Raw genomic sequence first — 20,521 nt, 5'->3', positions numbered from 1 at the left:
GGGATGCAGGCGTATAACATGGCAAAGGCAAGAGCAAAGTGTGTGGGGGAAGGGAGGTGCCACACTTTTTTTTTTTTTTGTTTGTTTGTTGTTGTTGTTGTCGTTTTTTGAGACAGAGTCCTGCTGTTGCCCAGGCTGGAGTGCAGCTGGCGCAATCTTGGCTCACTGCAACTTCTGCCTCCCAGGTTCAAGCGATTCTCCTGCCTCAGCCTCCCTAGTAGCTGGGATTACAGGCATGCGCCATCATGCCTGGCTAATTTTTGTTTTTTTAGTAGAGACAGGGCTTCGCCATGTTGGCCAGGTTGGTCTTGAACTCCTGACCTCAAGTGATCTGCTCGCCTCAGCTTCCCAAGGCACTCAGATTACAGGCATGAGCCACCGTGCCCAGCCTTTTTTTTTTTTTTTAAAAAAAAAAAAAAAAAAGAAAACACTTTTAATTTCAAGGGTACAAGGGCAGGCTTGTTACACAGGCAAACTTGTGTCATGGGGGTTTGTTGTAAACATTATTTCATCAATCAGGTATTAAGCCTAGCACCCATTAGTTATGTTTCCTGATCCTCTCCCTTCTCCTACCCTCTACCCTCTGAAAAGCCCGCCTTGTGTCCATGTGTTCTCATTGTTTAGCTCCCACTTATAAGTTAGAACATGTGGTATTTGGTTTTCTGTTTCTGTGTCACATTCTTTTATAAACATCCTGATCTCATGTGAAATAGCTGAGCAAGAACTCGGTCGCCAAGGGGATGACACTGAACCATTCAGGAGGGGTCCACCCCCATGATTCAATCACCTCCCACCAGGCCCCACCTCCAGTGCTGGGGGTCGCATTTCAATATAAGATGTGGAGGGGACAAACATCCAACCCATACCAGGGTTCATCTAGTCCGGGGTTGGCAGGCTTTTTCTGTAGAGGGGCAGAGTAAGTCCTTTTGGCTTTGCAGGCCACACTCTGACAACTATTCAACTCTGCAGCTGCAGGGTGGAAGAGGCCACAGACAATATGCAATGAGTGGGTGAAAATGGAGTGGGCCTGCAGGCCACAGTTTGCAGACCCCCTACTTCTAATGTAACTACATAAAGTAACAATCCCTCTGTGCTCTTCCTGAAGGTGCTCACCAGCTCCTGCTGGAACACATCAACCATGAGGGGACTCACTACCTCAAAGGACAGCCACTCCATGTGCAATCTATGCTTGTTAACGTGCAATTCTCCTCACCCCAATCCTGACTCCATCAGGAAGTACAATCAAAGGTGAATCCAAAATTTTTCTCCTATCTATTCCCTCGGAGAGCCCTGAACCTAGCAGATTTGCCAACGCACAGATGCTCTTTCAGTAGCTGACCTTCAGTAGGAAGGCAACTCTCCATCACCCCAGGGTACCGGCATGCCATGATCCAACCTACACAGTTAAACTGAATTCTTCATAGAGAAGAGGGAAGTGAGGATAGGGGTGGAGGATGGAGAAAGGGATTATTACAAAAATGGGGCCGTGATGTGCAAGTTATCTAGAATGTGACCTTATTCATTTCCATGTGTCTTCCCTGTTCCGATCCTAGCACCAGGTCTTGCTCTGAGCATTTGCTCAAGTTTAGAGAGCTGGGCGAAGGTCAGAGCCCGAGGAAGATGAAGGCATGTGGACAAAGGGAGCAACCATTCTGAATGGAAATGGTATTTCGAGGATGTCTCCCGGCATATGCTTGGTTCACATTCCAAATACAGAATTCACAGTTTTCCTTTCTTTCTATCTTAGGGCCCAGATTTCCTGGGCTGACCCAAAATTATGTCATCCACATTGTGGCATTCCCAAGAAATACTTGTCTTCTCAGTTTGATATCCTCTGGGATAACTTTGAGACAGAGTCTCGCTCTGTCACCAGACTGGAGAGCAATGGCATGATCTTGGCTCACCACTACCTCCACCTCCTGGGTTCAAACGATTCTCCTGCCTCAGCCTCCCAAGTAGCTGGGACTACAGGCGCTTGCCACCACGCCCAGCTAATTTTTGTGTTTTTAGTAGAGATGGGGTTTTGGCCACTCTTGCCAGGTTGGTCTCAAACTCCTGACCTCAGGTGATCTTCCAGCCTCGGCCTCCCAAAGTGCTGGGATTACAGGTGTGAGCCACCGTGCCGGCCTGGGACAGCTTTCTAAAAATAATTCCAGATTTGGGAATAGGGAGTCAAGAGGCTTGCGGGGGTGGTCAGGCAGGGAACACACAGTATGATCTAGAACTTCTTCCACATCAACTTGCAGCCTACCTCACCAAGAGAAAGATACTTCATGCAGCCCTTCCTGTGCCTGCTTTCCCGGGTTAACACATCCATTTTCTAAATATATCTCCTTTTTATTTGGGAGCAGAAACAGCCCTGCTAATTACCAGAGCCTCACATCACAGGAGATAAGAAACACTGAACAGGAACTAATGTGACTTTGGTGGAGTTCATGATTAGGTTCTGCAATAAAAACTCGAAAGGAATAGAAAATGCATTCACGACTAATTGTGAAATGCCAGCTGCCCATTTTTCTCAGCCTTTCTGACCTCTGACCAAGACCTCTGCTGTGGGTCTACCCCTTTTAAATGTGGATTCCCCAACTATTAATGATCCATTGAAGGAGGACACAATCAATTTCAAAAGAGCACAGGGCTCTCCTCCCAGCATCTTATTGTCAAACACTGACTATCCAGTCACACGAATGTTTTACATGCTAAGCCATCATTTAACGAGGATGCGACTCTCCAGTTTGCTATTACTCTAGTCCAGCTTCAGAGTGTTTGGTCTGGCACACTGAACATGGCTCAGTTTGGTCCCACATGCAGAAACAGGAACGAGGATTCCTGAGTTAAAGAATATAAGATAGTCCCTCATCGTGGGCCTGCAGGCTTTCCAACATGATTCCAGAAAAGGTGGATTTTACTTAAAGGAGCCTATTATGCAAACATCTGCACCTTTGGAAGAAAGAAAAATACGGAAATGATCTCTTTTACTACCTAATGCCTCACTGGGAGAAAAGATACGCCTTCTGGATAATAAAGATCTTAAAACAGATACCAATCAAAGAAATCAACAGCTAACAGCTCTGGCCAACTGTGTTTAATAAATTTTGAGAGAGCCCACTGATAAACCCCCGTAGAAGAAAAAAAAAACCCTCAAAATTTAAAATTTTAAGAGAGAATATTTACTTGGCATGGAAATTATGCCAGACTAAATGGGGAGAACGAGTCAGTGCATAAAATGCTCCCCAACCCTCTACTTGTGAATTAAAAAATAAAGGTTTTCTGGTTTGCTATGTGTAGAGGGAAACTTGAAGGCAGAGCTCCAGGGAAAGCAAAGTTTTCTCTTTGATCTCTTTTCCCCAGTGCCTGGTAGTGGGGCCTCAATAAATGAATGCATTTTTGAATTAATTTCTATTTCATGACAATTTGAATGTTATTGTTGACTTGCTCAAATAAATCTTATCTTCTTGAAATGCAAATTGGATGTCACTCCCTTCCTGAGAACCCTCTGAGGCTGAGGCTTCCTTAGAGTAAAATCCAAGCACCTTATCCTGCCCTGTGAGGCCCGGTATGGCCTGCCCTCCTCCCACAAGTCCGCATTCCTGCTACTCTTTTCATCCCAAGGTATATTTAATATCTTCACTATGAGTTTGGACTAATCCCATTCACTACCCAGGTCTTCTTGGGTGAAAACTGCATCTATCTGATGTGTGTCACTCTGGCTTCAAAGACCCAGAGACAGAACTCACTGTCTCCCATTCATCCCCTGCATGTCAACCGGATCAGTCCCTGTAAAATCCAAATCTGATCATGTCACTTTCAGCCTAAAATCCTCCATCATTTGTCCCTTTCGCCGCAGGAGTATCATGTCTAAGCTCACTCCTTAGCATGCGAGTCCCACCTTTGCTCCTAGTCAAGCCCTGCCATGGCCCCACCCTCGTCTGCTCTAAACTGCACGCACTCCGCTGGAGGTGCCATTAAATGCTTTCTTCCATCAGCTGTTCTCACAAAACCCTTCCTGCCCCGTCCGCGTCTCTGTCTCCTGTCATTCCTCATTCTTGAGAATTTGCTTTGACCTCATGTCCTTCCGAAGGCTGAACCTGTAACATGACCCTCCTCACAAGATAATATAGTCGATTGTTGCAAATCATTGCCCCAGCTAGCGTGTGGACTTTACAAGAACAGTGATAGTGTCCCTTCCTTCATCTCTGGTGCCCCAGAGATGAAGACAGACTTCTTGACTATCCAAACCTGATGAATACTGAGCAAACAAACCATGCAATAATTTTAGACCCTCTGAGTGGCCAACGCCATGCAAGGAGCCTGCAGAGCACGGCCCTGCGGACGTGTGGGGACTGTCCTGTGCACAGCAGGATGTGGAGCAGCATGCCTGACCCACCAGATGGCAATAACAGCCCCAGTTGTGACAACTAAAAACATATGCAGACACTGCCAGGCATCTGCTAGGGGACTGAAGCATCCATGGTTGAGAAAAGCTGTCAGGGGTACATGAGAGATAAGGACAGCACTCATTCCTGCCCTCAGGAGACTTTCCATCTGGCCTCCCTTCTCACGGCCCCTCCCAGGAGGGCCTTCCTGGACCAAGCAGTGTCTCCCACCACCCTATATCTTTTATCGGCTCCGTGTCTATTCCCAGCACTTAGGGCCACCTGATCGTCACATACTCACTAATGCCTGTAGATTGACAGAGCTCCATGAAGCAGGGATTTGGTGGTTGTTTGCTGCTGTATCCCCAGCACTGTGAAATAGTGGCTAACACAAGTTGGGTGCCAGATCAATGTCCTTTGAATGAATCGGCCCCCAGGTTGAGCTGAATCCCTTTCTGATGGAGCTGCCGAGTCTGCACTGCCTGGCGTGGACGCTGGCTCTATGGTCCCCAGATGCTCCCCTGTTTTCCTCCACTTCTCTAGACTGGAAGAGAAGACTCAGCTGGCCAAAAAGCATGCTCCCCCACGTGCTTTTTACCTGGGGGTTTTGCTCACAGGTTATCCGTATTTCATATCCAGAGCAGTCACGCATCTGCTTCAATTAAACAGGAAGCAGTGGGCAGGCCAGAATCGAGATGGGTAACACGGAGGTTGGCTGGCTTCCCAGCATTGCATGACGACATGGGACACATTTGCCTTTATTCCCTGATCATAGGCACCACCAGCTTCCAACCTGCTCCACAGGAACTCAGCCCCCATCACAACATTATTCCCCAGGTATTTCCTGGGAGGCCCAAGGCTGGCTTCACAAGGGCCCCCTGATCAATGTCAGCTTCCATACCATGTGCCAACTGCTGCTGCCTCCTCCCTTATCAGGACCACTGCGGGAGATGTCACCACGGTGACCCACCCCTGAAGACCAGCACTTCCCATGCCACAGTGCTACAGGTGTCAGAGGGGGCCTCTCTTTCCAACTGTGTAATCCTTGGCCACCTGTTCCCATAGCTGTGGTGCTTGCATCCGGGTTCTGACCCAATCGTTTGTGATCAATTTAATTAGCTTCTGGCCTTCACTTTCAATCTTGCAGTCTTTCGTAAAACATGACTTCAATCATTTTCTGTTCTCGAACCCAAGGGTCTTCAACACACTTCAGGGTCCCAGCGTAGGAGGACAACCTGTCCGTATCCCCTCTTTCGCTCCTCTGTCTTCCAGTCCACACCACTAATGCACTTCTTCTTCCTCTCCCTTCTCATTTTTACCAAATAAAAATAAATATCTTTATGCTGATAGCTGAAGGCATATAGATGGCTAATGGGTGGCGGGAGCTGGAATGGATGGTCCCCCACCGTGCCCCTGCATTTGGGGATCTGGTCCCAGAGTGTCACTCACAATGCTCGTCATAGCCAGGGAATCTCAAGTCCTGGGAGTCTGAGCAGTTGCCCCGTTATTTAACTTGTTCCCTGTAAATTCGCTGGGCTGCTGGGCTGGACAAAATGGGTCTAAGGCTCTTGCAGTCCCAATGTATTGCGATGCTTCCGCACCTTGGGAAAGAAAATGCCGCCAAGTAATTTGAAGAATCAGCATGATGAAGTAGACCTGGTTGTAGTTAGACAACTAAAACAGAAAAAAAAGGGTAGCCATCCTGTCATTTATTCATTCCATGGATGTGTGCTAAGTACCGAGTGTGGGCCAGGTGCCACAGGTGCAAAGACCAGTGTGGGGGTGGAGAAGAGAAAATTAAGGAATGTGGGGTTCTCCCACCTGCCAAGATTCAAGTTGAACCTCTTCTGAGGAGTTTGTGCTAATGAAGTTCAGAGAAAAATATGTTTCCATAGCCCTGAGTGAGGAAGCAGCTTTGCTTAGTGGACCAAATAAATAATCAGTCAGAAGCAACTCAGCAGTCTAATCCAGGTATGTAGCTGCCTCCACAAGGTCGTTTAACCTCTTCATGCCTCAGTTTCGCCAGCTGCACCTGACAGATAAGGCCGGGTTGTAATAAAATGAAGTGCTTGGAAATACGAAGAGACGAACTGGAAAAAGTCAGGTGGAGGTGATCAGAGGTGCAGGGGTAGGGAGGGGCTGTGAACAAACCTCGAATTATTTTTTCACAAGCACTCAGAAGACAAGCGTTTGTTTATTAAATTCTGTTTCTCAGAATTCCTATTTTTAAGTGTTTGTGTCCAAGGAGGCATTAGAAAGCAGCCTCAGATGTTTGCTCAGAGTGAAGCAGTTGGGAGAAATGAGATCTTTGACTTTTATTTTGTGTTAGAAACCCCTGCATTGTCTCGCTTGATATTCAAACACACACCTAGCTGGTTGGTATCATTATATTAATTCCTAATTATGAACGAACTGGGGTACAGACAAGTTATAGTAACACAACAGTTTCTCAAACTTGGCTTCACAATGGAAAAACTTGGAGAATTTTATAAACATACTGACACCTGGTCACACTCTGAGACATCCTGATTTAATTGGTTTGGAGTGCAGCTTGGGCATTCAGGGTTTTCAAAGCTCCCCAGATGATTCTAAGGGCAACAAAGTTCAAGAACCACAAATGCTTTGTTCAAGGTCACAGATCTACTAAGGCAGATAAAGCTGGTTCTGCCGACCCCAAGGCTAATTTCCCCTATCAGGAATTACATCAGCCTGTTCCAACTCCAATCTTCTGAGGACATCTTCATCTCTGGCTGAGAAACAAGCAAACACGCAGTAACATGGCATTTAACAGTCATCCAAAGTCTAGGCAGGATGCAGCAAGGAAGCCTGGGACAAATTTGCCTGGCTCTCAGGTGCCACTAATGAAACAAAAAGAAAGCAGTTTGGAAGAGTTGGAATTGGATGGAGAGGGCTTTCAAATGGCACACCGGAGCACCAGGAGAAATAAGCACAGTTGAGGCACATGTTACCCCACCAGAACTGTAACGAAACAGGTTCAAAGGTCATCTTCATCAAGGCCAATTAGTGATCAGGTCAGCTGCCATGATGTTAATACCCAAGAGTGTGATTATTTAGACCTGTGTTCCTCCAACTACAGTGAGCGTCAGGATGACCTGGTGGGCTGGCTAAAACCCAGATGGAGAGACCCACCCCGAGAGTTTCTGATCCAGCAGGCCTGGGAAAGCACCTAACAATTTACATCTCTAACAAGTTCCCAGGTGACGCTGTTAGTCTGGGGCCACAGTTTGAAACTGCCCAGTGAGATGATTCCCTTTTACAGAGAGTTACTGACATTCAACTGTTTACCTGCTAGCTGCTCCCTCACAAGTGCTTTCAACTCCATTGTACTTGCAGGGAGCTTAAACTATAAAACCGATATGTGGCAGGCTGGCTCCCAATTCCGGAACACTTACTAAGTGACTGGGCTGAGTGATAAACACCCACTAATGATAACACTGTTAGGAGATGATACTGTAATCTCACTCTCATTCTAAAAATGAGAAAACAGAGGCTGAGAAGTAACTGGCTAAAGGTGTCAGAGTATTAGAATGAACCATGAAATTGCCAATGTTCACCTCTTTTTCACCTGTAAGAATGGCAATTTCATATGGTTCACGTGATAGGAGAGTCGAGATTCTTCCCTCCGTAGGTCTGGCTCCAAAGCCTGGGCTTTTAACCCAAATCCTTTGTTTTGTCCCACTCAGGGCTCTTGCCTAGGTCACATGTGTGTTATTGATTGATAGGACCCTAATGATGACAGAAGTGAAGATCACAGGTTTGAGAACACAGTCTCCTAGGTGTAAGCCTGTTACCTGCCTTTGGGCAACTAAGCTTCTCACTGACAGGCTCTCACTTGGAACAAAACTGCACTCCAGCAGTCCCACTACTGAGTATCTACACAGAGGAAAAGAAGTCATTATACGAAAAAGATACTTGCACACACATGTTTATAGCAGCTCAATTCGCAATTGCAAAAATATGAAACCAGCCCAAATGCCCATCAATCAATGAGTGAATAAAGAAACTGTGGTGTGTGTATACATACATATATATATGGTAGAATAGTACTCAGCCGTCAAAAGGAGTGAATTAATGGCATTTGCAACAACCTGGATGGGATTGAAGACTATTATTCTAAGTGAAGTAACTCAGGAATGGAAAACCAAACATCATATGTTCTCACTCATAATTAGGAGCTAAGTTGTGAGGATGCAAAGGCAAAAGAATGATACAATGGACTTTGGGGACTTGGCAAGGGGGAAGAGTGGGAAGGGAATGAGGAATAAAAGGCTACAAACTGGGTTCAGTGTATACTGCTCGTGTGATGGGTGCAGCAAAATCTTACAAACCACCACTAAAGAACTTACTCATGCAACCAAACGCCACCTGTTCCCCAAAAACCCATGGAATTAAAAAAATTGCACTCATGTCATCACAATGTGGTAGATGACAACCACCACTCCAGTCCTCTGGCAAGCGGACTTTCCTGTACCAGGGAGCTGGAAAAACTAAAAACTATGTTGACCCAGCTCTCTTGCACCTAGAGTCCTGCTTACGGTCTAGGTTCTTCCTGCAGATGCACCAGCGTGAGACTGGATGGAAGTGAGTGGCGGGAGGCCACAGCTGTGCTTTGCAGATCAGAGGTTCTGAGCTTGGCAAAGTCACCTGGCTCTTTTAGGTAACCCAAGCAGGGCTGCCACATCCAGTTGTGAGCATCAGAGCAAAGTGGCAGGAAGAGCCAGCAGCGACCTTGACTCTTTGCTATGGTTGAAATGCCTGTCACCTCCAAAACTCTTGTTGTAATGTAATAGCCAATGTAATGGTGCTGGGAGGTGGGGCCCTTTAGAGGTGATTAGAGCATGCGTGTTCCACCCTCATGGGTAGGTTTGATGCCTTAATTTAAAAGGCTTTCAGGAATAGGTGCTGTCTTTTGGCCCTTCCACTTTCTGCCATATGAGAATTCAGCCTTCCTGTCTTCTGGAGGGTGCAAGGTGCCAGGCACCATATTGCAAGAAGAGAATGGCCTTACAAGACACCAAACCTACTGGTGTCTTGACCTTGGATTGTCCATCCTCTAGAAATGACAGCCAATACGATTCTCTTCTTTATAAATACCCAGGCTCCGATATTTTGTTACAGCAGTACAAAATGGACTATGACACTTCTCTCTAACAGTGGTTCTCAATTTTGCCCCTTATAGGACAACTGGCAATATCAGCAGACATATCTGATTGTCCAGATTAGGTGTGTGTGTGGGTGGGGGGTGGTGGTACTGGCATCTAGTGGGTAGAGGCCATTGGTGCTGCTAAGCCTCCTACAATTCACAGGACAGCCCCCCATAACAAAGAATCACCCAGCCTCAAATTTCAATAGTGCCACTGTTGAAAAACCTTGCCCTAGAATAGTTTCATATGTGGGTATTTCCTGTAGCACCACCTCATCTGGCCTTGTCAGCTAGGTTACTTGGCACTTTGGGCAATCCTAATGGCTACCTGTACTCTTTAATAAATCTCTTCCTTTGTAAACTAGTTGGAGGTGATTTTGTTGACTGCCACCAAGAACCCTGGCTAAGAAAGGTAGCAATGGGGGAGACCAGAGTAGAGGACAAAGAAGACTTACATAGCATGTCCCTACTAGTGAGGGCTGGGGTCCTTTCCAAGTACAAGTCTAATCAGGTGTAGTACAATCCCATCAAGGTAATATGTGCATCATTTGTTCATAACATGAACGTTTTTATAACCAGGTTAATCACTTAAATAACTCTCTAATATGGGTACATCTATATCTCCCAATCGTCTTATAAGCACTGACATTATGATACACCTATTTCCGCATGACGGCAGCAGCTTTCACTTTAATGTGTATTCTGCCAAATTGTCATGGAGCTACAGATGGGTTAGAATAGGGGTAGAGCCACATTAACAAAAGAAAATATATGAGCAAGGATACCTCTGAATGCCAGTTGTATTTCAATTTTATGACAACATTCTTGACCACAAATTCAAAACTTGACCAAGAAATTGGCTCAAAAAAGAACAAGTTATATAGTATGAAATGTGAGCAAATACTCAGAAGGTGGCAGTGAGGTCCTTTCCATGTTCTGAGGCCAGGAACACAGGTGGTTCCAGTTACCTGTTCTAGAATTGAGTGTGATAGACGTATCAAGGTTATCTTTATGAAGATGAGATGAGACCATCATCTGAGTATTTGGCATGGAGCCTTGGCACACTGTAAATGTTCAAGACATGTTCACCCCAACATTAATAGTAAAAATACATCTTGGGAACCTGTTTAGCCCTCATCTAATTCATCAGTGAAGACAAGATAACCATTTTCATAGGTCTGTGTATGTCAGGGATCTAGGGAATTCTTGGGCACTTAATAGATGCTCAATAAAGTTAGTTTTGCCTCTTCTTCCATATGCTCCTCTCTTCTCCCACCCAGCTCTGACATTCCCAGTTATCTGAGCATCTCCCACTGGACAACAGATCAGTGTGAAGGTCTCCTGCCAAGGACACCTGCCTGCTACCATGGTCTTGGCCATGCTTCCTGTTTTGCCCTGCACCTCCTGCAGAGCCCATCCCAACCGCCCCCCCACCGTCTTCCTCCCCCACTCGCCTAACAGATGGTCTCCCACTCCACTCCCGTCATCCCATATTGGCAAATTTGCAGCCAGTAGATCATATTCACAGTGTGAGGGAATCATTACCACCTGCTAATATTTTTATAGAATTTCATAAACTTGGTCATTCATGAATCATTTACAGTACTTTATTCCAGTGAAGAGTTCACATATCACTCAAATGCTGGCAAAATGCATAATAATGAGTAATATTTCAGGAGGCTTTGCATTAGTATGTCAGCTTCCAATACTGCAAGAGATAAATTATTTTGCCAGGTGCTACTTTGGGTCAGAAGCTGGGGAAGTTTTTCTGGGGGCTGGGGCAGGGAGGAGTGGCAAGATGGCAGTGGGTCACGGAAATGGATGGTTTTTAAAAAGTAATAGATCACCCAGCCAGCCAAACTCCCTTCCCAGCCCCGGTAAGCAGAGTTCCTAGGAAAGGAGCTAAGGAATTTGCAGATTAGATATAAAATCTAGCTGGGGATAAAATAGGAAGAGTGTTTCTTAGTGATTGAAAATGTGGGGCTTTGGAGCTGAAAAGAAATGGATATGGATCCCAAATCCAATACATGCCAGCTGTGAGACCTTGAAAAAGTTGTTTAACAGCTATTTGCTTATCTGTGAAATGGTGTTAACACCTACTTCTTAAGTCTCTTGTGTGAAATGGATTAAATAAGAGAATTATACAAAGTGTTTAGCATAATATCTGCCATGCAGTGTTCAATAAACAGGAGCTTCAATGGTGATGCACTTTCAGGGGCCCAAGGACAAATGTATTCCAGATTATTTCTTATCATACAAATCCCTGAGGTTTAGATCAAAATATTTCTTGTTGGATTTGGAAAACGTTAATACATCAACACGTACTTGCATGTGAGCAGCACTTAACTTTAAACAACAGAAACATTGGCGCTATTATGATGACAACACATTCACCTGCAGGCTCTCTCCTTTTTTTTTTTTCTTTTTCTTTTTTTTTCTTGCTCTGTTTTTCTATTTTTATTTTTATTTATTTATTATTTTTTATTATTATTACACTTTAAGTTCTATGGTACATGTGCACAACGTACAGGTTTGTTACATATGTATACATGAGCCATGTTGGTGTGCTGCACCCGGCTCTCTCCTTTTTAAACTTGCAAGACTAGAAACTAAAATGTGAGGATTTGGAGACCCAGGATTCTCCTCTTTGAAGAACCACATTTGCTCCCAACCGTGTTGACTACCATGAATACCATGGATCTAGCTGTACTACTAAAATAGTAACTTATTCTTAAACAGGCACTTGGAATGAACGGAAATTGCAACATTCCTGTGCCCAAAGTAGACCAACATGAGAGTAACCCAGTTCTCATCATCTAAAAATAAAGAACCGCAGAATGATCGGGGCTCTTCCTCAAACTTGCTTCTTCAAGGAAGAAGCTTCAGCAACTGTAAGAAGCTTCAGTGCGGGTATGATGAAAACAGGACAATGACCGAACTGAAGTGCATGAAGCACGGAGGGAAACGGCATCAGAAAGTAGGCCCTCATGAGCCCATTGAAGAGTGCGCTGCCAAGGGCTGGGCCCCAGTCTGCCAGTCGTAAGTAACCCAAGTACTTGTGTAAGAAACTGCATTCCCACTAAATACCAGTACCCTTTCCAATGAGGGTATATGACCCTGTGCTGGTGTTATCAACAAGCCATGTTACAAACCAGGCACAACTTCCTGCCATGTCACCTACACACAGAAGAGAGGAATTCAAGCCAGTTTATTCCGAAACAAAGAACTAGAATAAAAGATACATGAAAGCAAGGAACCCAGTGTGTCTTGTTGCTACTGTATCCTCCGAACACCTTGAAGCGTGTCCCTTACCCTATAAGCACTCAATTAAATGTATGTAAAATGAATGAATTGCTCAATCAATCCATATGCTATGACATAGACTATAAAAGTATAGTAAAAACTCAAGACTACTCAAGGAAAGTTTGTGCTGGACATGAGAGATTGGGCTATAACTTGGAATCCTTTGGGTTTTCACTTACCTTCCTTCACCTTTAATATCATTGATTATTGTCACCCATGTAGGAAGATTATATGATGCTTACTATGTTTCCAGCATTTTCTAAATGCTTCATATGTATTAACTCATTTAATCCTTATGAAATCCTATGACATCATTATTATTTTTCCCATTTTCCAGGATAAGAAGTTGAGGCAGACAATTTGTCAAGTTTCCACACCTAGTACATGATAGCCATGATTTGAATGCAGCCAATCTGGCTGTGTGCAGAATCCATGCTTTTAACTACCGTAATATTATATGGCCTCAGTTTTTAAAAAGTATGGGAAGCTCCAAGCTGCAACCGAAGCTCTGTTTTATTAGCTGTTTAGCAATTACTAGTTAGCAAAAACTAGTAATTTCATTTTTTATAATCCTCAGAAGCGTTAGCTGTAATCATACTTTATGGACAAGAATCCCAAGATCAGGGAGGGTAAGAGTGTTGCTCAAGGTCCCACAGCTCAGTACGCAGCAGCACTGAGACCTGAATGGAGGATCTCAGATGCTGTATTAGTCCGTTCTCATGCTGCTAATGAAGACATACCCGGGACTGGGTAATTTACAAAGGACAGAGATTTAATGAACTCACAGTTCCACATGGCTGGGGAGGCCTCACAATCATGGCAGAAGATGGAGGAAGAACAAGGGGACTTCTTACACGGTGGGCAAGAAAGCATGTGCAGGGGAACTCCCATTCATAAAACCATCAGATCTCATGAGACTTATTCACTATCACGAGAACAGCACGAGAAAGACTCACCCCCATGACTCAATTACCTCCCACTGGGTCCCTCCCATGACACGTGTGAATTCTCAGAGCTACAATTCAAGATGAGATTGGGGAGACAGCCAAACCATATCAGATCCCACAGCTCTTGATCACTCTGTTAAGAAATTATGAAATTTATTGTATCTTTCCTTAGTTTTTTGTGCCAGAACTTTCTTGGAGACTCCCATGATGGGCACAGAAAGACAAGAGGGCATCTATCCATAGTCTGCTGCTGGTTGTTCCTACAGGAGCTGGACCCCAATAGCTGCCAGGTCACCTCTGGTTACTGTCAAGGCCAGCTGGAACTGGGTATTTCTGAGGTCACCAACATTCAATTTATACAACTACCTGATTCCCCCTTGAGTATAAGTTGGGACTCATGGCTCACGTTTCAGTTCTCATTGACAGGTGACTCCCCCAGCAAATGCTCAGAAAAGGCTTTGGCAAGGCTTCCGAGATGGACATCTGGAAAGCACCCGCATCCTCCCAGGGCCTGAGACCCTTGAGCGCATTGCCCAGTAAGGGTTCTGCTGGAGGGTGGGGACTTTACTACCTACCATCATGCTACTGCTCTATGTCTGTCCAGCACTTTATGCCTCCAACGCCCTTATAGTATCTTCTCACTTCAAACTCACAATAATGCATTTAAGTAGGTAAGAAAACCAAATCAATCAATCAATCAATCACTTCCAAATACAACCATTAACCCACTGATTTTTCTTTATCATTTTTGTTAAACATATACACCTCATGATATGTGCAAATACTCCATTGGTAATGAGGATACCATATGTGTCTGTATGTTGTTTTCATTCAATATCTTGAATCTCTCCCATATAACACAACTTCTTCAGAAGCATTTTAAATGGCTAGAGAAAACTGCCTTGCAAAATCTGCCATAATTTAACTACTCCTTTATGGCTGAATATTTAGCAACTGTTTTCACCCTAAGGACCATGTCTTGCTAATTATATCAGGTCTTGGGGTTTATACCTCTTCCAGCTCTAGATCATCAAGCTGGTCTCTGGAAAGCCAAAGTTGCCCTAAGGGTTCTGACCTCCTCTGAGATGCCCCCAGGGTCTCCCTTCTTGGTCTCTGGTACCCAAAGTCTGATGCAGGCCTGGAGGGCTCTACTGATGAGATAAAGACCCCCCACTGTTGCCCTGTCAGGGTTCAATTCCATCCACTTCAGCTCCCACAGAAACACCCTAAAGCCATGCAGTCCCGGGTTTGATGAGGCACAGAAATAATGAGCTCAGTGGGAAGAAAACAATCTTTGAAAGCCACATTTCTGCGCACAGGGTGGGCATGGGAGAGGGGTACTCACTTGATAAACAGCGATTACTTCTCTGTCCAAGGTCCGTGTCACGGAGACGCTCCCTGTGTTCTCATTGATTCTGAAAATTCCTTTAGGCTCTTGATCCACTCCCTTTCCAGTGAGCCGGAACTTGGACCTTTCTGGCCTGTCACTATCGACTACCTAGTCAGAAAAACAGAGAGACATTTAAAACTGCCTGGAAAACACAGAGAAAGCACATTGCAAACATACTCCCATGAGCAATTCACTAATCACAGGTGCCAGCACATGGGTACCTGGTGAACACAGATTTGACTAAAGTAACAGCACCAGAAATAGCATCACTGCCTAACGCCTTTCATCCTAATATCCACGTCTTTGCAGCTGGCAGCTGAGGAAGCTTACCAGCACTCGGGTGACATACAGTGATGGATCAAGGAGGGCAATAATGCCAGTTCAGTCAAAGTTGGACATTTTATTATTTTTAACTCCACGAAATATATTTTTTTCAAAAAAATATTTATCTGCAAACAAAACAAAAAAGGTAATGGAAGCCATTTGCTGCGCATGCATTGATCAAGATTCCAGGTATTTACATATATCCACTAATCCAGTGTCACCTGCCCTGTCACTTCTACTAGGTACTAGGCATGGTGCAGAGGAAGCACTTTGTCTCATCAGAAAAGGTTTATACATATACATATATACACATATATACACATACACACATCTATTTAGGGGGCTTATATATATAATATGTATATAACCCCTAAATATTATATATATCAAACCCCTATATATTAAATATATATGCATCAATATTATATATAGATACCTCAATTTAGGGGTTTTATATATGTGAAACCCCTAAATATGATATATAATATATATATTAAACCCCTATGTATTATATATATTAAACCCCTATGTATTATATATTAATATATATATTAAACCCTACATATTATATATATTAAACCCCATTATATATATTAAATATTACATATATTAAATCCCTATGTATTAAATATATATAATAAATAAAATATATATGTTATATATAAACCTCAAATTAGGGTTGTGTATATATATATATATATATATATATATATATATATATATATATATATTTCAATGCTGGAGGCAGAGGACATTATTATTTCCACTTAATGGATGAAACCACTGAGATAGAATGAGTCAGCAAGCTGGCCATGGCCAAAGCTATGAAAGAGATAAAAATGGGTTCAGAACCACATCTTCCATTCTCTAGAGACACTGCAATACAACATACAACACTGTCGTTTCTGAATTTACTTTATGGAATTTTCCTACAAATTGTCGACCTTGATTTGACATTTGAAGAATAAATTTGGAAGGGAAAGGTGGAGGAGAGTAGTTCCAGGCAGAGGGAACAGCACAGACAAAGGCAGCAGGCAGACAAGGAAGAGTCTGGAAAGTTTTGCAAATCGTGAGTTACTGGCATATGCTTAAGCATGTAGAGGGTTAGGCTGAGAAGCAGTTGGGGTCAAAGTATGGGGGGTGGTCTTTTTATGTAGATGTGCAACTAAAGAGAACTATTATTGGCATAAGTGGAATCTAGAGTTTACCCTCAAGTATTCATCTATATTTATGTCACTTTATCATCAGAACCTTCAAACGTTAATTTGATTATAACAAAACAATTGAAAGGTCATGAACACAATAATCATTCAGGACACACAGATAAAAGAAAGCTGATACAGATCTAGCTGTCACCAAATTACAAACGAACAGGCACCTGTTGACACATACTCAACAGCGCCTGGAGGGTTTAGGTGGCTAAGACAGGAAACCTGCCCTCTCCTAATCAAAATGGGTCCTGCCCGCCCCCTGCTCCACCACCCCACCACCCCCGCCACTTTAGCTGCCGCCAAGCCTGCAATTCCGATGTCTGACACCAGGTGGCAATGGTGCCTAAGGCAGCATGAACTTTACGCCAGGGTTCATCTGGCAGGATCACTCAAGGCATTACAGGTTTTTTTTTTTTCCGATTAAAAAATGTTGTTTATTAAAATACACTGAGTGTTGACTAAACACCAATTACATATGTTTGTATTTTTAAGAGTAACTGAAAATTGGATACAAAAGAAAATTAAAAATAAACTATGTGGGCCGGGCGTGGTGGCTCATGCCTGTAATCCCAGCACTTTGAGAGGCCAAGGTGGGCGGATCACTTGAGGTCAGGAATTCAAGACCAGCCTGGCCAACATGGTGAAACTCCGTCTCTACAAAAACTACAGAAAATTTAGCTGGGCGTGATGGCGCACACCTGTAATCCCTGTTACTCTGGAGGCTGAGGCAGCAGAATCGCTTGAATCTGGGAGGCATAGGTTGCAGTGAGCTGGGATTGCTCCACTGCACTCTAGCCTGAGTGACAGAGTAAGACTCCATCTCAAAAAAAAAAAAAAAAAAAAAGAGGTGTTTGATACTCTCTGATGAAAATAATTTTCAGTCATTGCTTGACTTGATTAATCCAACTGATACTTTTCCACTGACCCCTCTACTTGCTGCCTGGAAGCCCCATGAGGTCAAGAGCCACAGCTTACTGGGCTCACCATTGGATCCCTGTGGCTGGCAAGTAGCGAGAATGAACTCCACGGATTAGACAGCTATATGTTGCAATCCTAGCTTTCCCAGTGATCCACTGTGTGAGTATGAACACGGTCCATCGCCTCATCTTTAAAGTGCAGATGACACCACTTACTTCCCAGCATTGCCGAGGGTTTAATGAGATGGCATCTATAAAGTACATGTCCTGCCACACAGAAGGAGCTCAGTTAATCAAAGCTAATAATTCCAATATTAATCATCACAATAAAATTACACTGTTGTTAATGGGTAAGAATGGTATCTCTATCCTTTTCTGAGGGAATAGGTGGTTTCCTCTTTTTTTTTTTTTTTTTTTTTTTGAGACAGAGTCTCACTCTGTCACCCAGGCTGGAATGCAGTGGTGCAATTTCGGCTCACTGCAACCTCCGCCTCCCAGGTTCAAGTGATTCTCCCACCTCAGCCCCCTAAGTAGGTGGAACTACAGGCACACGCCACCATGCCTGGCTAATTTTTATATTTTTAGTAGAGATGGGTTTTCCCCATGTTGGCCACGCTAATCTCGAACTCCTTACCTGATGTGATCCACCCGCCTCAGCCTCCCAAAGTGCTGGGATTACAGGTGTGAGCCACCACGTCCGGCCTAGGTTTCCTTTTTAATAACAAAATTCACAGGCCTCCCAGAAGAGAAGTGCTCTGGAAACAGCTCCCTGCGTGGGAAGGGGTCACCAAGCACACTCACCTCTTCTCTGTCACTGTGGTCATTATTGCTTCACCCCTCTCTGCCAGCAGCAGTATTTACTGTGAAGAGCGAAAGAACAAAGCTTCCACGGTGTGGAAGGGGATCCGAGCAGGTTGTCGCTGCTGCCTTGGGGGTGGCCAGCTTTTATTCCCTTATTTGTCCCCACCCATGTCCTGCTGATTGGTCTATTTTACAGAGTGCTGATTGGCCCACTTTACAGAGTGCTGATTGGTCCATTTTACAAACCTCTAGCGAGCCACAGAGTGCAGATTGGTGCGTTTTTACAGAGCACTGATTGGTGCATTTTACAAACCTCTAGGTAGCTACAGAGCACTGATTGGTGCATTTTACAATCCTAGCTACAGAGTGCTGATTGGTGCATTTTACCATCCTCTTCTAAGAAAAGTTCTGCAAGTCCCCACTCCACCCAGGAAGTCCAGCTGGCTTCACCTCTCATTACCACCTTTGCCCAAATATGGATTAAAACTCCTTCCTCTTGTTCTCCTAAGCACACCTGAGATGAGCAGGTCCTTTTTGAAGATTCTATTAACATACAATGCATTCTGACGAGCAACGAACATGGGAATTCTACAAGAGCTATGAAGCAATCATGCTTCCCAAGAATGGGCTTCTCTGACCCATCTATCTGCCAGACACAGGCCCCGCTGGTGAAGACCTGCCAGGAAAAGCCTTCCGGGCTGTTAGTTATCTTTTCTTGACCCTTCTCTGCTCAGAAAAAGTTGGGAACACAGCACCCAGACCTTCTAGAAGAAACAAGGAGGGGGTGGGGGAATGGGCCTCTTGGGACAAACATCACCACCCTCCCGTTTCTCTGCCTGCCACTCGGCACAGAAAGCTGAATTCTAGACCCAGAAATTATCCCAGGGTGACTTTCCCTTCTGCTGCCAAGGGTGGGTCTCAGTCATTTTCTTGCCCTCTCTCAGAGAGCTTGAGCCACTTGGTGGTACAGACACAAAGGTCTTAGAGGCAGGACCTAGCTGAGTTGGCTCCTGCTGCTGAATTGAAATTACTTATTCCCCAGGAAAGAAGCCAGTCCCCATTGTGAGGGCCCCAGCTTAGCACTGCACACGTCTGTCTCTCTTCTGTCTCTCTTCAACTTTTTATGTTCTTAAGGATGTGGCTGCTGAACCTGCCTCCTGCTCCTCAGAGCTATGTTCACTTTGAAGAAACACCCACAGCCAAGAATGGTGTTCCCAGAGTGAGAGGCCCTATGGGACCACCAGCACAGGGAAATGGTGGGTGTCACTTCCAGTAGGGGCCTTGCTTTCTCTAGACTAATTGGTCTCAAGATATGATTCACTGGAACAGTATCAGCATCACTGGGAACTCATTAAAAACGCAAATTCCCAGGCTTCCCCCAAGCCTCTTGTATCAGAAATCAGGGTAGGGGGAGAATTGCTGGCAATCTGAGCTTTAACAATCCCCCCTCCCCAGGTGATTCTCACGCATACCCAAGTTTGAAGACCACTGCTTTGGGCAGCTTTCAGCACCATCCCTGTTGAGTATCACTGATGCTGGTTTCCACCGCTACTGTTTGGAGCCCTCTGCTAAAAATAGGCTGGGTCTGTTTGCCACCTTCTTTCTAGACCTATTTTAAACATATAACACTAACAGGAAGTCTTTTAAAAACCTGTTTCTAAGACCTCAGAAAGCAGAGTTGGTTTTTCTTAAAGTCACTAGATGCAACATCTCTACGTGTGTTAAAGGCACCCCATGGCTTGGAGGAAGCTTGGCGAGGAAAGCATGAAAGTGGAGTGGGGAAAGTCCCTCTTCAGGGGAAAGCTCAGTGTCTTGGCTTAGTTTAGATCCAGGAGGAAGCTCAAGCCCTTCTGAATTACCCACCACCTCTCTGGCTTCTTGGTGCCTAGCTGGGTTTTCAGAGGGACCCCAGCATATTCCAACTTCACGAACTGGGGGATGGGAGGTATGCAATGACCATAACCCAAGGATACACTCAGCCATGCTTCAAAACCACTCCATGCAAATCAAGTGTGTTTCCAGACCACCTTGATTATGCTGTGCTCAACTCCTGGGAACTCCACAGCTGCAGCAGCTGAGCCTGCAGCC

The 20,521-nt window shown here is 44.5% G+C and overlaps 1 protein-coding gene across 6 annotated transcripts in view; it reads right to left on the bottom strand.

Moving 5' to 3' along the window:
- CDH13 (cadherin 13) overlaps nt 1-20,521 on the bottom strand; it is a 1,173,672-nt gene that overhangs the window by 568,008 nt on the left and 585,143 nt on the right. For all 6 annotated transcript variants that reach the window (NM_001220488.2, NM_001257.5, NM_001220489.2 and 3 more), the window contains one exon: nt 15,136-15,288. In NM_001220488.2, coding sequence (NP_001207417.1) covers nt 15,136-15,288 — 153 coding nt within the window. The remainder of the gene's footprint in view (nt 1-15,135; nt 15,289-20,521) is intronic.

Source organism: Homo sapiens, chromosome 16 (assembly GCF_000001405.40).
Source record: "Homo sapiens chromosome 16, GRCh38.p14 Primary Assembly".
In the NCBI taxonomy this organism is placed as follows: domain Eukaryota; kingdom Metazoa; phylum Chordata; class Mammalia; order Primates; family Hominidae; genus Homo; species Homo sapiens.
The sequence above is the reverse complement of the archived record's forward strand: the minus strand, read 5'-3'. Positions and strand labels throughout refer to the sequence as shown.